At 54.0% G+C, this 12,977-nt stretch overlaps 1 protein-coding gene across 3 annotated transcripts in view, besides 9 other annotated features; it reads right to left on the reverse strand.

Moving 5' to 3' along the window:
- Positions 1 to 12,977, reverse strand: part of IFFO2 (intermediate filament family orphan 2) — a 52,397-nt gene that overhangs the window by 31,011 nt on the left and 8,409 nt on the right. The gene's annotated exons all lie outside the window — the stretch shown is intronic.
- Positions 78 to 623: an enhancer, noted in NCBI's record as "NANOG-H3K4me1 hESC enhancer chr1:19261862-19262407 (GRCh37/hg19 assembly coordinates)". NCBI's record gives its function as "activates a minimal SCP1, AML or CMV promoter by ChIP-STARR-seq in primed H9 embryonic stem cells {active_cell/tissue: H9 hESC(primed)}" and the evidence as "EXISTENCE:reporter gene assay evidence [ECO:0000049][PMID:30033119]".
- Positions 624 to 1,168: an enhancer, noted in NCBI's record as "H3K4me1 hESC enhancer chr1:19262408-19262952 (GRCh37/hg19 assembly coordinates)". NCBI's record gives its function as "activates a minimal SCP1, AML or CMV promoter by ChIP-STARR-seq in naive H9 embryonic stem cells {active_cell/tissue: H9 hESC(naive)}" and the evidence as "EXISTENCE:reporter gene assay evidence [ECO:0000049][PMID:30033119]".
- Positions 1,169 to 1,714: an enhancer, noted in NCBI's record as "H3K4me1 hESC enhancer chr1:19262953-19263498 (GRCh37/hg19 assembly coordinates)". NCBI's record gives its function as "activates a minimal SCP1, AML or CMV promoter by ChIP-STARR-seq in primed H9 embryonic stem cells {active_cell/tissue: H9 hESC(primed)}" and the evidence as "EXISTENCE:reporter gene assay evidence [ECO:0000049][PMID:30033119]".
- Positions 5,985 to 6,279: an enhancer, noted in NCBI's record as "tiled region #2400; HepG2 Activating DNase matched - State 5:Enh". NCBI's record gives its function as "activates a minimal TATA promoter and a strong SV40 promoter by Sharpr-MPRA in HepG2 cells {active_cell/tissue: HepG2}" and the evidence as "EXISTENCE:reporter gene assay evidence [ECO:0000049][PMID:27701403]".
- Positions 5,985 to 6,279: a silencer, noted in NCBI's record as "tiled region #2400; K562 Repressive non-DNase unmatched - State 20:ReprD". NCBI's record gives its function as "represses a minimal TATA promoter and a strong SV40 promoter by Sharpr-MPRA in K562 cells {active_cell/tissue: K562}" and the evidence as "EXISTENCE:reporter gene assay evidence [ECO:0000049][PMID:27701403]".
- Positions 5,985 to 6,299: a biological region, named in NCBI's record as "Sharpr-MPRA regulatory regions 2400 and 6542".
- Positions 6,005 to 6,299: an enhancer, noted in NCBI's record as "tiled region #6542; HepG2 Activating DNase unmatched - State 5:Enh". NCBI's record gives its function as "activates a minimal TATA promoter and a strong SV40 promoter by Sharpr-MPRA in HepG2 cells {active_cell/tissue: HepG2}" and the evidence as "EXISTENCE:reporter gene assay evidence [ECO:0000049][PMID:27701403]".
- Positions 6,593 to 7,110: an enhancer, noted in NCBI's record as "H3K27ac-H3K4me1 hESC enhancer chr1:19268377-19268894 (GRCh37/hg19 assembly coordinates)". NCBI's record gives its function as "activates a minimal SCP1, AML or CMV promoter by ChIP-STARR-seq in primed H9 embryonic stem cells {active_cell/tissue: H9 hESC(primed)}" and the evidence as "EXISTENCE:reporter gene assay evidence [ECO:0000049][PMID:30033119]".
- Positions 8,864 to 8,913: an enhancer, noted in NCBI's record as "active region_287". NCBI's record gives its function as "activates an Ori minimal core promoter by ATAC-STARR-seq in GM12878 lymphoblastoid cells {active_cell/tissue: GM12878}" and the evidence as "EXISTENCE:reporter gene assay evidence [ECO:0000049][PMID:35858748]".

Below are 12,977 nucleotides of genomic sequence, written 5' to 3' on the forward strand. Positions count from 1 at the left end.
GCCAGACACTTCTTCTCCAAAAGGGTAGACAGAGGTCTCACCTGGTGGGTGATAAGCCCTGGAGAACAAGGCCACGTGCTAGGGTAGAGTAAGGCTGAATAGCATCCCCCCAACACCTCCAGCCCCCCTGTGCCAAGCTCCATCACACCTCCAAGGCATGGGCTGCATTCTCTGCCCAACAGGTTCTACACCCCTTCCCCTTTGTCCTTTTCCTCTCTCTCTCCCTTACCTAATGTGACTTCAGGACCCAGCTTATAACCCCCTCCAGGAGGCTGACCCGACTCCTTGGTCAGGGTCAAGTGCCACTATTCTGTACTACAAAGGCTCTGGGCCACTTGGTATTGAGGTTACTGATCCCCTGCTGGTCTCCTCTGCTTAACTCATCTTTCTTTTCTCTCTCTCCTTCTGTCTTTTTTTTTTTTTTTGAGATAAGATCTCGCTGTGTGCCCAGGCTGGAGCACAGGGGTGCAACAACAGCTCTCTCGACCTCCTAGGCTCAAGGGATCCTCCTGCCTTAGCCTCCCAAGTAGCTGGGATTATAGGTGCATGCCACCACACCTGGCTAATTTTTCTATTTTTTTTTTTTTTTTTTTTTTTGTAGAGACAAGGTCTCACTATGTTGCCCAGATTGGTCTCAAACTCCTGGGCTGAAGCGATCCTCTCGCCTCAGACTCCCAAAGTGCTGGCATTACAGGTGTGAGCCACTGCGCCCGGCCCTCATCTCTTTCAAGATCAGGCCCATCTATGGGTCACAGCTGCAACTCCAGTGCCCAGCACAGAGCCTGGCACATAGGAGGCCCCATAAATATTCACTGGATTAAAAAGGCCCAGTAAGTGTCATCTCCAGGGCCTTCTCTAGGAGATCCAATCTAGGCCAATGCAGCCCTGTCGCCTTAGATATGGCCACCCTGCCAGCCCCTCCCTGCCAGCCTCAGTTTCCCCAAACAACCTCCACAGTCCAGGCCAACTCTGCTACTCTCTTCTCTGCACCTTGAAGCCTGGGCCTACCTTGCATGGAGCAGATGATGGGAAAGTTGGTGTCCACGGCTCTCCATCCCTGGGACATTGTCTTTCTGCCTAGGCCTGGCCAAGCCCCCATGGACCCTCCACCCCATCCCCATCCCGTGTCTGCTGGCTCTTGCTTAAGTGGAAGCCAGCAGGGGGTCTGGGCAGCAGGTCTTTGGGCACTCAGGTCAAGAGGCAGGAGGCCCAGGGGGTCTGTGCCCAGGAGAGTGTGGGGGCCCCCAGGCCCAGGGTTATGTTTACAGCTTTGAGAAAAACAGCAACTCCCAAGGCTATTTTGGAAACCTAATATGTACTTTGGGTCTCTCCACTGTTTATTCCAAGTGACTGTGCTGCCCTGGAGGTAAATGTAGGGCACCTCAGGGTAATCTCCCGCATACTTACTCACCCGCAGCCGCCCTGGAGCCAGCTGCCTGGGAGCCCAGATTTTCCTTATCATGTGCAGCCTGAAAAAATGAGGGGCTGGCAGCCAGGCAGAGCCCACCAGGCAAGAGTCAGCACACCTGGGTTGAAAGCAAGGCTCTGCGGCCTTAAGCCAAGTCACTTCTCTAGGGCTCAGTCTCCTCACCTGTAAAATGGGTGAGAATGACCCCACCTGGATTCAATGAGGATGTGCAAACACAAACTGGCTGCAGGTGGGGCAAAAAAAAAAAAAAAGCACAGAACACAGGATCCTAGGACATCAGACGGGGAAGTCCAGGTCATTCATAAATGAGAAGTCTGAAGCTCAGAGGTGGGAGGTGATATGTCCAAGGTCCCACACAGGCAGCGGCTGGCTCAGTGCAACTCCAGAGACTAGGAGCTGCCTGCCATGCCGCTGGTAAGGGGAGGAGAACATTCCAGAGCAATCTCCAGGAGGGAGGAGGGAAGAGTGACAAGGACCCAGCTAACAAAAGACACGTGGGGCTTGTGCAACCAAGGATGGGTAACAGGGCAACGGTCACCTGTCTGTGCAGAGCCGTCATGGTCCTCACTAGCTGGGAAGGGGCAGGTTCCAGCGCAGCTGAGGCAGGTAATTAGACTGCAAACACGCGCACCAAAAGAATTAGTGACTAAATACAGCTCAAGGGGATGGACTCATTACTTAATCCCAGGCTCCTGTCATCATGGCGGGCCCTGGCATTCCACCTGATGTGAACCACTGGGGAGTGTGGAGGCTGAGCACCAGGCAACCCCACAACACACAAACAAGAGTGTTCCTCCCAACTACCCATGGGGCTGGAGAGAGAAGTCAGTCCCCTTAAGATGAGACGGGGAATGAAATGGAGCAAAGCCTCCCAGGGACCCTTCCATGACTGCAAAGCCCCTCGGAGGGCATCTTTATTGGAGCTTGTCATCTCCTCACCCTCATTCTGCTGATGGGGAAAGTGAGGCTCACCAAGGTGCAGTGACTCATCCAGGGTCACATAATCATAACAGCATTATGGAGGCTCCCAACGGCCTGGCCCAGCCGCCACTGGAGGGCAGAGCCTTGGGGCTCTCAGATGGATGGAGGGTCCTCCGAGGGGAATCCCTCAAGCGCTGCCCAGATGCTGCCGAGCACCCCACACATGGGATGCAGAGGGTCACTAGCCCCAGCTATGCAAAAGAACCGGCACCAGCACAGCCTCTCTTCTCAACTCCAACCCAGCGGGGGCTCTCTTCCCCCTGAGATTTGGGCCTCCAGCCACAGGATTCCCAGCCCGGACTCAGCAAAAAGCCAAAAAGGAGATGGTCCAGGCCAGCATGGCGAGAAGAAGCCGGCTTGGGGCAAAGTGGGAGGCCACTTGCAGCCACCCCCTGTCCCTTATCCCAAAACACTTTGACGTCAGGCAGAGCTGGGATGGGCGTCCAACTCAGCCGCTCCGCAGCTGGTGATCTGCTAAAGCGACTTTACCTCTCTGAGCCTCAGTTTCCTCATCTGTAAAATGGGAATAACAATAGTACCTACACCTCCCTGGATGGTGAAGACCCCATAAGATCATAAACACCAGTGCCTAACATTATTTTGCTCCTCCTAGTGAGCAAGCCCCACCTCCAGCTGCTGGGAAGGCTGGGAGGGAGGCTACTGGGAGGGCTGCTACAGCGTCCAGGGCCCCGGGCTTGGCTGAGCTGCACCATGCTTCCCCTTAGAGGCTCTGTCTCTGGGTTCCCTCTCCCATGCTGGGACTGGGGAACTGTCTGGTATCCAGAGTGACCAAGTGCCCAGCACACCGTAGGCCCTCAACCGCTACTGACTGGATGAATGAGCTTGTGAGCTGGAGCCACTGGGCGTAACCACCAGCAGGCCTCGGGGGAAGCCCAGCTCTGCCTGTGCTGACTTACTGTGTGGCCTTGAGCCCATCCCTGCACCTCTCTAGACCTTCTGCACAAGGAAGCTCCGACCACACCAGGGACTGAGACTCCCCCACCTCACACCTAGGGAGACCCTGCAGGGAGGGTGGCCAGAGGACAGCCTGCCCAGTGGGGAGCCCCTCCCAACTGGCCTGGCCCCCCCAGGGACAGACAGCAGGGGCCACGCCCACCCCTGCAGGCCCTCAAAGGCAGTAGGCAGTCTCCTCCTGGTGATTTTGCCTTGGGACAGATGGGACACAGTGTGGTATCTGTCAGGCCAGATGGCCTGGTTGGCCCCAGGGGCCGGGACACCAGCTGGGAGTCCAGCCCTGGCAGGCAACACTGCTTAACCCCTTCTTGCCCCAGCCACAGGAGCTAGTGTCCCCCTGGCAACTTAATTACTGGTGTACACTCAGGCCTCCTGTCCTCTCCCCTTGGAGGTGAGGGGCCTCCCTGGCACCTCTAGGGCCAAAAGGGAGGCTGGGAGGCTGTGGGAGAGAGGAAGCCACAGGGTGGGTGGGAGCGGAGAAGATGCCACTGCTTGGCCCTGAGGGCAGCCCAGGACCGCCAGGAATCTGCCAACCCAGGGAACCAGCAGGCAGGAGCACTGATTCCAGGCCAGGGAGCCCTCTGGGGCCACATGGGGCTGGCTGTTCTGCTTCCAGGACATCTGTCTGCGGCAGGGACCACCAGGCCAGAGGCCACCGGCCACCTTTATCAAGCCCCCTGCCCAAACCATAGAAACAGCATTGCCACATGAAGGAGGACACCCAACTCGGACAGGCTGGCTGAATGGCTGTGGACATGTTGCTCAACCTCTCTGGGCCTCAGTTTCCCCATCAGGAAAGATGGGACCAGAGTGATCCCTGGGATTCAGGCCACTTCTAGCTCAGAGGGCTCCCTGACTCCTAGAAAAGGAATGTGCCTCCCTCCCAGAAACTTGTGGGATACTACAGGGACCAGCCAGATCTTTTCTGCATGAAGATTGTGTCTCAACTTGTATCTGAGTCAAGGCACAGTCTCTCAGGAAGTGGAGAAAAGGGAGATTGTAGGTGGGAAGAGGGTACGCAGCAAGGTAATGGTGCTGCCTTGAGAACCACCAGGCAATTGATATCCAACCACTTTCCTCCTCTGTGAAAGGCTAAACAAAGGGGGAAATGAAGCAGTAGGGATCATGGTTAGACACCAGGAAGCACTTCCCAATGGAAAAGGCCACAAGGACACTGGACGGCCCGTCTCAGAAAGGGTTCTGGAATGTGCTTCCTAGGCAGTAAGATCTTCAGGCAGGATTTGCAGTGGTCCTAGCCCCAAGATGAGGAAGAAACAGATGACCTCTGGAGACCCTTGGAGGAAAAGAAGCCAGTGTCCAGTAGGGTAAAGTAAACAGGGCCTTGGAGTCTCTCCCCTCAGGGGCTCAGCCAACCTGCTGTTCCAGATGCGGGAGGGTGTCATCTCAGGGCAGAGCATAGCCAAGCTTGGCCCCAGTCTGGGGCCTGCATGCTGGTTCAGTAGACACCTCTAGAAGTCTCTCAGAACAGAGGCTGCCAGCAACTCCCGAAAAGCCAAGAACCCATGAAAACAGCAGAGGAGGAAGAGCTAGGTAAGGGAGCTGCCGGCCAGGAGTGAGAGCTGTCTGTTGACACAGCAGAGAAGCAGAAACTTGGGGCTGGGACCTACAGACCTGACTTTGAGCCCTAGCTCCGCCACTCGCCCCGTGCAACTTTGGGCAAGTCACTGCCCCTCTCTGACAAAAGGGAGAGAAAATATCTAACCAATCTCTAAGGACTCTTCCAGCCCTGATTTAACAGTTCCTTGGCAAGCTCCCCAGATTCTGCAAGCTCCCAGTTCATGCAGCATCATCCCCAAAGCCCAAGCATAGGGACTGAGCACCGTGGCCCAGAAAAGGATGGATGGATGGACAGACTGATGGACAAACGGATGGATGGATGGATGGATGGATGGATGGATGGATGGATGGATGGACAGACGGACGGACAGACGGATGGAAGAATAAATGATCAAGTAGGGTAATCCTGGCAAAGAAGAGCAGAAGGTCCTAGGTGTCCCCTGGGATGACTCTTTACACCTGCCCACAAGGCCTCCCTGGAATCACTTGCCAGTGATACAGACCCTCCAGTATCCAAATCCCTTCTTTAACTTGTACGTACACGTGCAAATACCTAAACATGCAGATACAAATACGCAACACGTGCTCAAAGCAGTGACCCAACTCTGAATCCTGACAAGAGAAAGCTCCAAGTCCCCCCCAAAAGCCATGAGGTTTATCTGCTCCAGTCTGATTCCAGGGTATCTTGGCTTTTAGAATTCCCTTTCCAAAGCTGGGTGCAACACGAGACTCTAGTGGTGGAACCCAGTGGTGATCTTGGAAGCCAAAGAGACCTGAGGTCACATGCCCACTCTGCCACTCTCTAGCTTTGACAAGGAACAAGTCATTTCACCTGGCACGACTCAAAGTTTTCTCATCTGTACAATGGACATACCCACAGCCACCTTGCTGGAGTGGTGCGATGTTCCAGAGAACACATGTGTGCGGCTTCAAACACTGCAGTGGGCATACAGAGTGCTCTCGGGAAGTGAGCAAGATGGCGATAGAATTATGAGATCTTGGCTCCCTTCTTGGAGGGGCTGAGCGCAAGCCAAGCCTCCCAAGGCTTCTCTGTTTGGGCCCTGCAATCCCTTCCACCTCGTTTCCCACCTTGGGGGGTGATGTGCTTGGACTTAAACCGGGCAGAAGCTACAAAGCAGCCTTTGTCTCACAGATGAAACCCTAAACCAGCTGCCCTGACGTCAACTCTGGAAAAACAATGCCAAGCCAGCCTTCAACGTCACTCCTCTGCCAAGGTCTGGGATTGGGCCCTTCACCCACAAGGCCTCGCAAGGCAGTCTATGAAAACACAGAAACCATCTACCCATCGCCTACAGGGGCCCAGAAGGAGGAACGGCTGCCTTGCTGCTGCTGGGTGCAGGGCAGGGCTTGAACCCCTGTCTTCCAATTCCCCTATCTCAGCCTGCCAGAATGAGCTTGCATGTGTGGCAGAGAGTACTTTGGGTAACAGTCTGCAAGAGGCAGGTTCGAATCCTGATCCTGGCCCTACCTCATAGTGAGACCTCAGACCAGCAATGTGACCCCCTGAGGCTGCTTCCAAATCCACACAACGGGGAGGCTGAGACAGTCCATGATCCCCAGGGAGGCGGGGACAGGGAAAGATTCCCCCATTCATGTCCACATTCCATCAGGCCCTCCTAGGAGCCACAGGCTCCAGGTGACACCCTGCACTGGACACAGCCTTGAATGCCAGGTCTTGCCTTCCCAGTCACCCTGTGCTGACAGTCTGCTCGAGAAGAGAGGGGACATGACCTCCTCCTGGCTGCCCAGGCGGCTCTACCGGGGAGAGGAAGTGCTCAGAACACAAAAGGCCAGTCTTCAGCCAAAGCGGGAGGGAGCAGGCAGTTCTCACTGTGCCGCGTTTTCCTTTTGTATGAGATGGGATGGGATGATGAGAACCACAGGGTGTTGGTGAGCCTGACCCAGGAAAGGCTGCCCTGTCTCCTTATCTCCGGGGTAAGCCCTGGAGCTGGAAGGCTTGAGAACTTTGCCTAGAATGTTGGAGTTGGGTGAACCATAGAGGCTGATCCTTCATTCCCCCACAAAGACTATGTTTCCAGAGCTCCTTGTCTGGGGATGTGGCCTGACAAATAGTACTTTGGCATTTGTTCACATTTTTATGTGTACAAATTGGGGCCTGGGGGCTGGTGGGAGCCAGGCCAGGGCAGGAGGGAGGGAGCGGTAACAGCTGAGGGGCCAGCAGCACACGTAGCACTCTGCAGGCAACATCAAATCCTCGCAACCTCATCAGCTAAGATTGTCATCCCCATTTTACAGATGAGAGAACTGAGGCTCAGAGCAGTAACACAACTCCAAGCAGTGTCACCTCAGAGCCAGAGTTCCCACCCAAGAGAAGGCCCAAATCACGGGCCAACAGGAAACATGAAGCAAGAGCAAATGAAGCAATTTCTTTTTAATTCCCCACAATTGAATTATGTCTTAGGGCTCAGAAAAGGAATAACCTACAAGTTGGAGGTCCCTCAACTTGGCATCAGGTTAATTCTGGCTCTGCCAGCAGTAGCTTGCTGAGTTCAGGCCATCAGTCTCCAAGTCAGATAAGTCCTGATGTTTTATTTTATATTATTTCTTTTTTTTTTTTTTTTGAGATGGAGTCTCATTCTGTCGCCTAGGCTGGAGTGCAGTGGCAAGATCTTGGCTCACTGCAACCTCCACCTTGCGGGTTCAAGCCATTCTCCTGCCTCTGCCTCCCAAGTAGCTGGGATTACAGGCTCGTGCCACCACACCCGGCAAATTTAAGTCCTGATGTTTTAAATGCTAATATTTTATTTAAAGGTAAGTGTGAAACCAACAGCAATGTAATATTAAGACTCAGCCAGCCATGGTGGCTCACATCTGTAAGCCCAGTACTTTGGGAGGCCAAGGCAGGAGGATCACTTGAGGCCAGGAGTTCAAGACCAGCCCCGGCAACATAGCGAGACCCCTATCTCAACAAAAATTATTTTTTTTAAAAAAAAATTAGCTGGGTGTAGTGGTGTGTGTCTGAAGTCCTAGCTCCTCGGGAGGCTGAGGCAGGAGGATTGCTTGTGCCTAAGGAGTTGAAGGATGCAGCAAGCAGTGACTATTCAACAGCACTCCAGGCAGGGCAACAGAGCAAGACCCTGTCTTAAAAAAAATGTCTTTCCATATAAAAACATGTGCAAATCCCAAAGTACTATTTGTCAGGCCACATGCCCAGACAAGGAGCCCTGGAAACATGGTCTTTATGGGGAATGAAAGATCAGCCTCTACGGTTCACCCAACTCCAACATTCTAGGCAAAGTTCTCAAGACTTCCAGCTCCAGGGCTTAACCCAGAGATAAGGAGACAGGGCAGCCTTTCCTGAATCAGGCTCACCAACACCCTGTGGGTATCATCATCCCATCCCATCCCATACAAAAGGAAAACGAGGCACAGAGAAATGGTGCAGCCAAGCACAGGGCTGGCAGATCGGGAAGGCAGATCAGTGTCAGCATCCCAAGACCTCAAAACCAGGCCAGAGGCTGGAGAAGTGCCTTTTGCGACATGGAGACAAACCCCACGGGCAACCTCAGATGTCTCTTTTGTAGGTGGAGGGAGCTTCATCCACAGCGCCAGGGACCCAGATGTCTGGTCAAGGAGCAGGGCCCTGTCTCTGCGGACCCCACTGTACAGGCTCCGAGTCATGCCTTTGGCAGTTGCTTCTCTGCTCCAAGTGCTCTGTCCTCTGGGAGTTTTCCAAACCCCTCCTGAAAGTGCCAGCAGCCCCCAGAGGGAGCCCTGAGCTCAAGGGTTTAAGGGGAGTCCTGTGGAGGGGACAGGGTGAAAATACCTGGGTTCCGGCCCCTGCTCTGTTGCGTGACCTCAAGGTAGCTGCTCTCCTTCGCTGGGCCTCAGTTTTCTCATCTATAAAATGGTCGTGAATATGCAAATAGGGGTGAGAGAGAAATAGAAACCACTACAGAATGGCTGAAGGTCGCTTTGAAAGACAGAAGGCATAGCTAACTTGGTTGGGATGTCAGGGAATGATTTTGCCTGGAAGCAGGAGGATGGATGAGATGAGCTTGAAGGGTACCTCAAGTCCTCTGGGGCATCCAGGGGATGAGAGGAAGTCATAGGTGTGAGGGAGAAGGGACAGCCAGGGCGATCGGGGGCCGGGGCGGGGAGAGGTAAGGGGAGCAGCCAAGCCTCCCCCCAGCCCCAATTCCTGACCTGTGTCTAATCCTAGGCCCTGGACCATAATGGGGGATGGGGAGGCTGAGGGTCTCCAGTGGCCAGCATTGAGCTCCAAACCAGCAGCTTCTCTCTCACTAGGCAGCCTCCCTTGCCCCCCACCATGATGTCAAGACCCTACCCCCAGCCCCATAGTACAAGGGGTCTGCAGGGCCCGCCACAGGCAGGGCAATGACCTTAAGGGCTCCAAATCCAGAGGCTCCAGACCTGTGCTCACATGCGTGTATACACACACACACGTACATACATGCACACTCATGGGCTCACAAGGCCCCAGCAGTAAGAGCCACTCACCAGGGCCCAGCATCTGGCTGAGGGATGGGGGACAGGATGTCCCTCAGAGCCCTGCCCCAAGCAGGATGGGAGTGAGACAGCCAGCCATAAAGAGTAGAGATCAAAACAAGAAAGAAAGGAAAGAGGGAGAGGAAAGGAGAGCAAGACAGAAAATGAGAGCCAAGAAGAGCATGAGGAGGGAGGAGGGGACAAGACAGGGCAGAAGCAAGCACAGGACAGGCCAAGTTCTGGCAGTGCCAGGCTCAAGCCCGGGCACCAGGAGCAGCTCCACACTGTTCTGCACAGCAGCTCAACTCCAGGCCCTTGTACACGCTGTCCTCTCTATCTGGAACACCCTCTCTCCTTCTCTTCCACTCTTACTGAACCTTCCAGATACAACCTAGGTGATGTCACCTCCAGGAAACCTTTCTTGACTGGCCCTGAACTGGCTTGGGTACCTTCCAGAATCCCTGGGTTTTGGGCACCCTAGGGTCTCACCAGTGTCCCACCCAGACCTCCGAGACTCTCTGGTCGTGACTTTGCAACAAGCTTTCCCTAAATCTTCCACTACCACCCCCCAAGATGGCCTTCTGCCTATTGCCACAGTGGGCCAGGAGCAAAACGGGGGTGCCAACGGGCCCTGGGAAGATGGGCTGACCCTATACAGAGAGGAGCCTGTCTGCTGGGGAACTTCACAAGATCTACTTAGACCAGTAGCTCTTCCCCTCCCCCAAGACAGCAAACAGGCGGCAGTGAGCCAAGAACCGTCTTAAATAACTCAAGTAATAAAGATAGCCAATTAAGAGGGCGGAAGGCGCTGTCTCCGCTGCAGGGGCCTCTCTCCATCGAGCAGCAGATGAGCAGGGTCTGTGTGAACACACATCCCAGAGTCGGAGCACGCAGGCCAGAGGGCGCTGAGCAAGCATCTCAGAGACAGCTCAGAGACAGGCCCCACCCCCAGCACAGCCACATGGAGGGGCTTCTGCCAGGGCCAAGGCCCAAACGCCATTCGATTCCTGCCCAGCTCCTCTCCCCAGAACCCCCAGCCTTATTTAGTGATTTTTGCCACAGCAGCCAGAATCGGAGCACCATCATCGCACTTGCCATCCACGCAACATGACCATTCCCATTTCCAGATAAGAAACGGAGGCTCAGAGAGGCACAGTGACTCTCCCAAGGTCTCAGAGCTGACAGGCAGCAGAAATAAACCCTGCAGGTTCCTCTCTTCCCAGCTTTTGGGTTCCACACAAACGTTCTGCTCTAAGCTGTCTAACATAGCAGGTTTCTGTCCAACCTCCCGTCCCAGGATCTAGGGGAGGTGTGAATGTAAAGGCAAGAGAGGACAAGGCATTGCATGGAGCTTCAAGGAGCTTCAGCCTGCATGGGAAGTTGGAAAAGAAACCGCAGTGTGGGTAGAGCTCAGGGCTCCCAAGGATTTGGTCCCCACAGGCACTCCGCTTGCCAGTTTACAAAGTGCTCCACGGGTATCATTTTAGACAGCCCTCCAAACAGCCTCATGAGGTCAGATTTATTACTTCCATTTCATAGAAGTGAAAACTGAGGCTCAAGCAGGGAAGCTACTTGCAATGGGCACGGCCCTTTCTGGTACTACACAGGTTTAAGGTTGGAACTGGAACCTGACTTCCTGCGGTCAGATCTGGGCTTGCCACTTTCTTTTTTTTTTTTTTTTTTTTTTTGAGATGGAGGCTCACTCTGTTGCCCAGGCTGGAGTGCAGTGGCGAGATCTCGGTTCACTGCAACCTCCGCCCTCCAAGTTCAAGCCATTCTCCTGCCTCAGCTTCCTGAGTAGCTGGGATTACAGGTGCCTGCCACCATGCCCGGCTAATTTTTTTGTATTTTTTTTGTAGAGACAGGGTTTCACCATCTTGGCCAGGCTGGTCTTGAACTCCTGACCTCATGATCTACCCGCCTCGGCCTCCTAAAGTGCTGGGATTACAGGCATGAGCTACCGCACCGGGCCTGGGCTTGCCACTTTCAAGGTGTCTTGGCCCAGTTCCCTCCCCTGCCTCTGTGGCTCAGTTTTAGCATCTCTAAAATGGGCTAATGATAGCACCCAACTCACAGGGTTATTACAGCTTCCATGAATTAAATGTTTGCAAACCACTTTGAATGAAGCCTGGCAAAGAGTAAATGTTGTATAAATATTTAATGAAATTCATTAACTAACACATGTTTATTGTGTTCCTACTATCCGCAAGCACTGTTGGAGAAGGTACTGGGCACATGCTGTTGTCACATGATGCTGCCACATGGCATGACACATTTGTCTATGTCCCCAGATTCTGAGTTCTCGAGGGCAGGGGCCTGGCCCACGGTGGGTACTCAGCCACTGTTCTGAAACCACCACCACTTTGGCTTCTCAGACATCCACACCCAGCAGTCTCATCTTCCCCAACAAGAGGCACCAAACGATTGTAACAACTTCCCTGTTCCCTGGCAAAGTTCACAGCACTGACTGAAAGCAAAAGCTAGGGATACTCCAGCCCAGGGCGGAGGCGAGCTCCCAAACAGCCACCAGAATGCCCGAGGCCCTCTGCTGCTGGTGATCCGTGGATGAGAACCTCGGGCTGGCTGTGCCCTGAGGACACTCAGGGGCCGGGCAAGATAAATGGAGCATTAATTGAGAGCCTGAGATCCACAGCCTGCCCCAGCTTTGCTAGGCAACATTTCACAGAAATGAAAACTGAGGCTCACAGCAGGAAAGCGGCTTGCAATGGGCATGGCCCTTTCTGGGTACAGCACAGGATAAAGGTTGGATCTGGAGCCTGACTTCCAAGTTACTTCTCCTCTCTGAGCCTCGGTTTCCATCCTGCAGTGCCACCACCGGGTTTAAATGAGACCGCGTGGAAATCACCAGACGGGTCATAATATGTGTTCCCTGTTCCCCAACTCCTCCCCTGCCAGCCCTGCCAGCCCCCATTGAGACCTTCTCCAAAGAGCAGGGGCCTGGACAGGCCTGCTACAGTGGCCCGGGAGCCTCATCTGCCTGCTACTGCCAGTGATTCATTTGCTTCTCAAGAAATAATTTCTGTAAAGTGACAGCAGGGAGTCTTCCCAGCGCAGCAGCCGCCTCCTATTCTGCCACCCGCCATGGCAATATTGTGACAGGTGCTGGGGAGACCCCGTGCCTCCTGCCTGCCTCCTCACCCTGAGCCAGCCTTTGGCAACCTCCAGGGGCATGGGACAAGGCCACCTCCTGGGAGGAGCACTGACCTTGGGGTCCAGAGACCCAGACGGACTCGTGGCGAGATCTGGGACAGAAGTCTTCACCTCTCTGAACCTCTCATTTGTAAAATGAGCATAATCACTTCCCACTGCTTGGGACTGCTCCCATAATTATCACATATTTAAAGAAGTCATCACTGCACCTAGCACAAAGTAGGTGCTCAATAAACGGAAGCATTAAGCCATATTGATTTATTTTCAAATCCTTTTGCAAAATGTTTTCCTACTGCACTGTTTTAATTGACTTTTACCTCAACCCTGGGAAGCAGAACTCGTAAGAAACCAC

The sequence above is a fragment of the Homo sapiens genome, chromosome 1 (assembly GCF_000001405.40).
Source record: "Homo sapiens chromosome 1, GRCh38.p14 Primary Assembly".
In the NCBI taxonomy this organism is placed as follows: domain Eukaryota; kingdom Metazoa; phylum Chordata; class Mammalia; order Primates; family Hominidae; genus Homo; species Homo sapiens.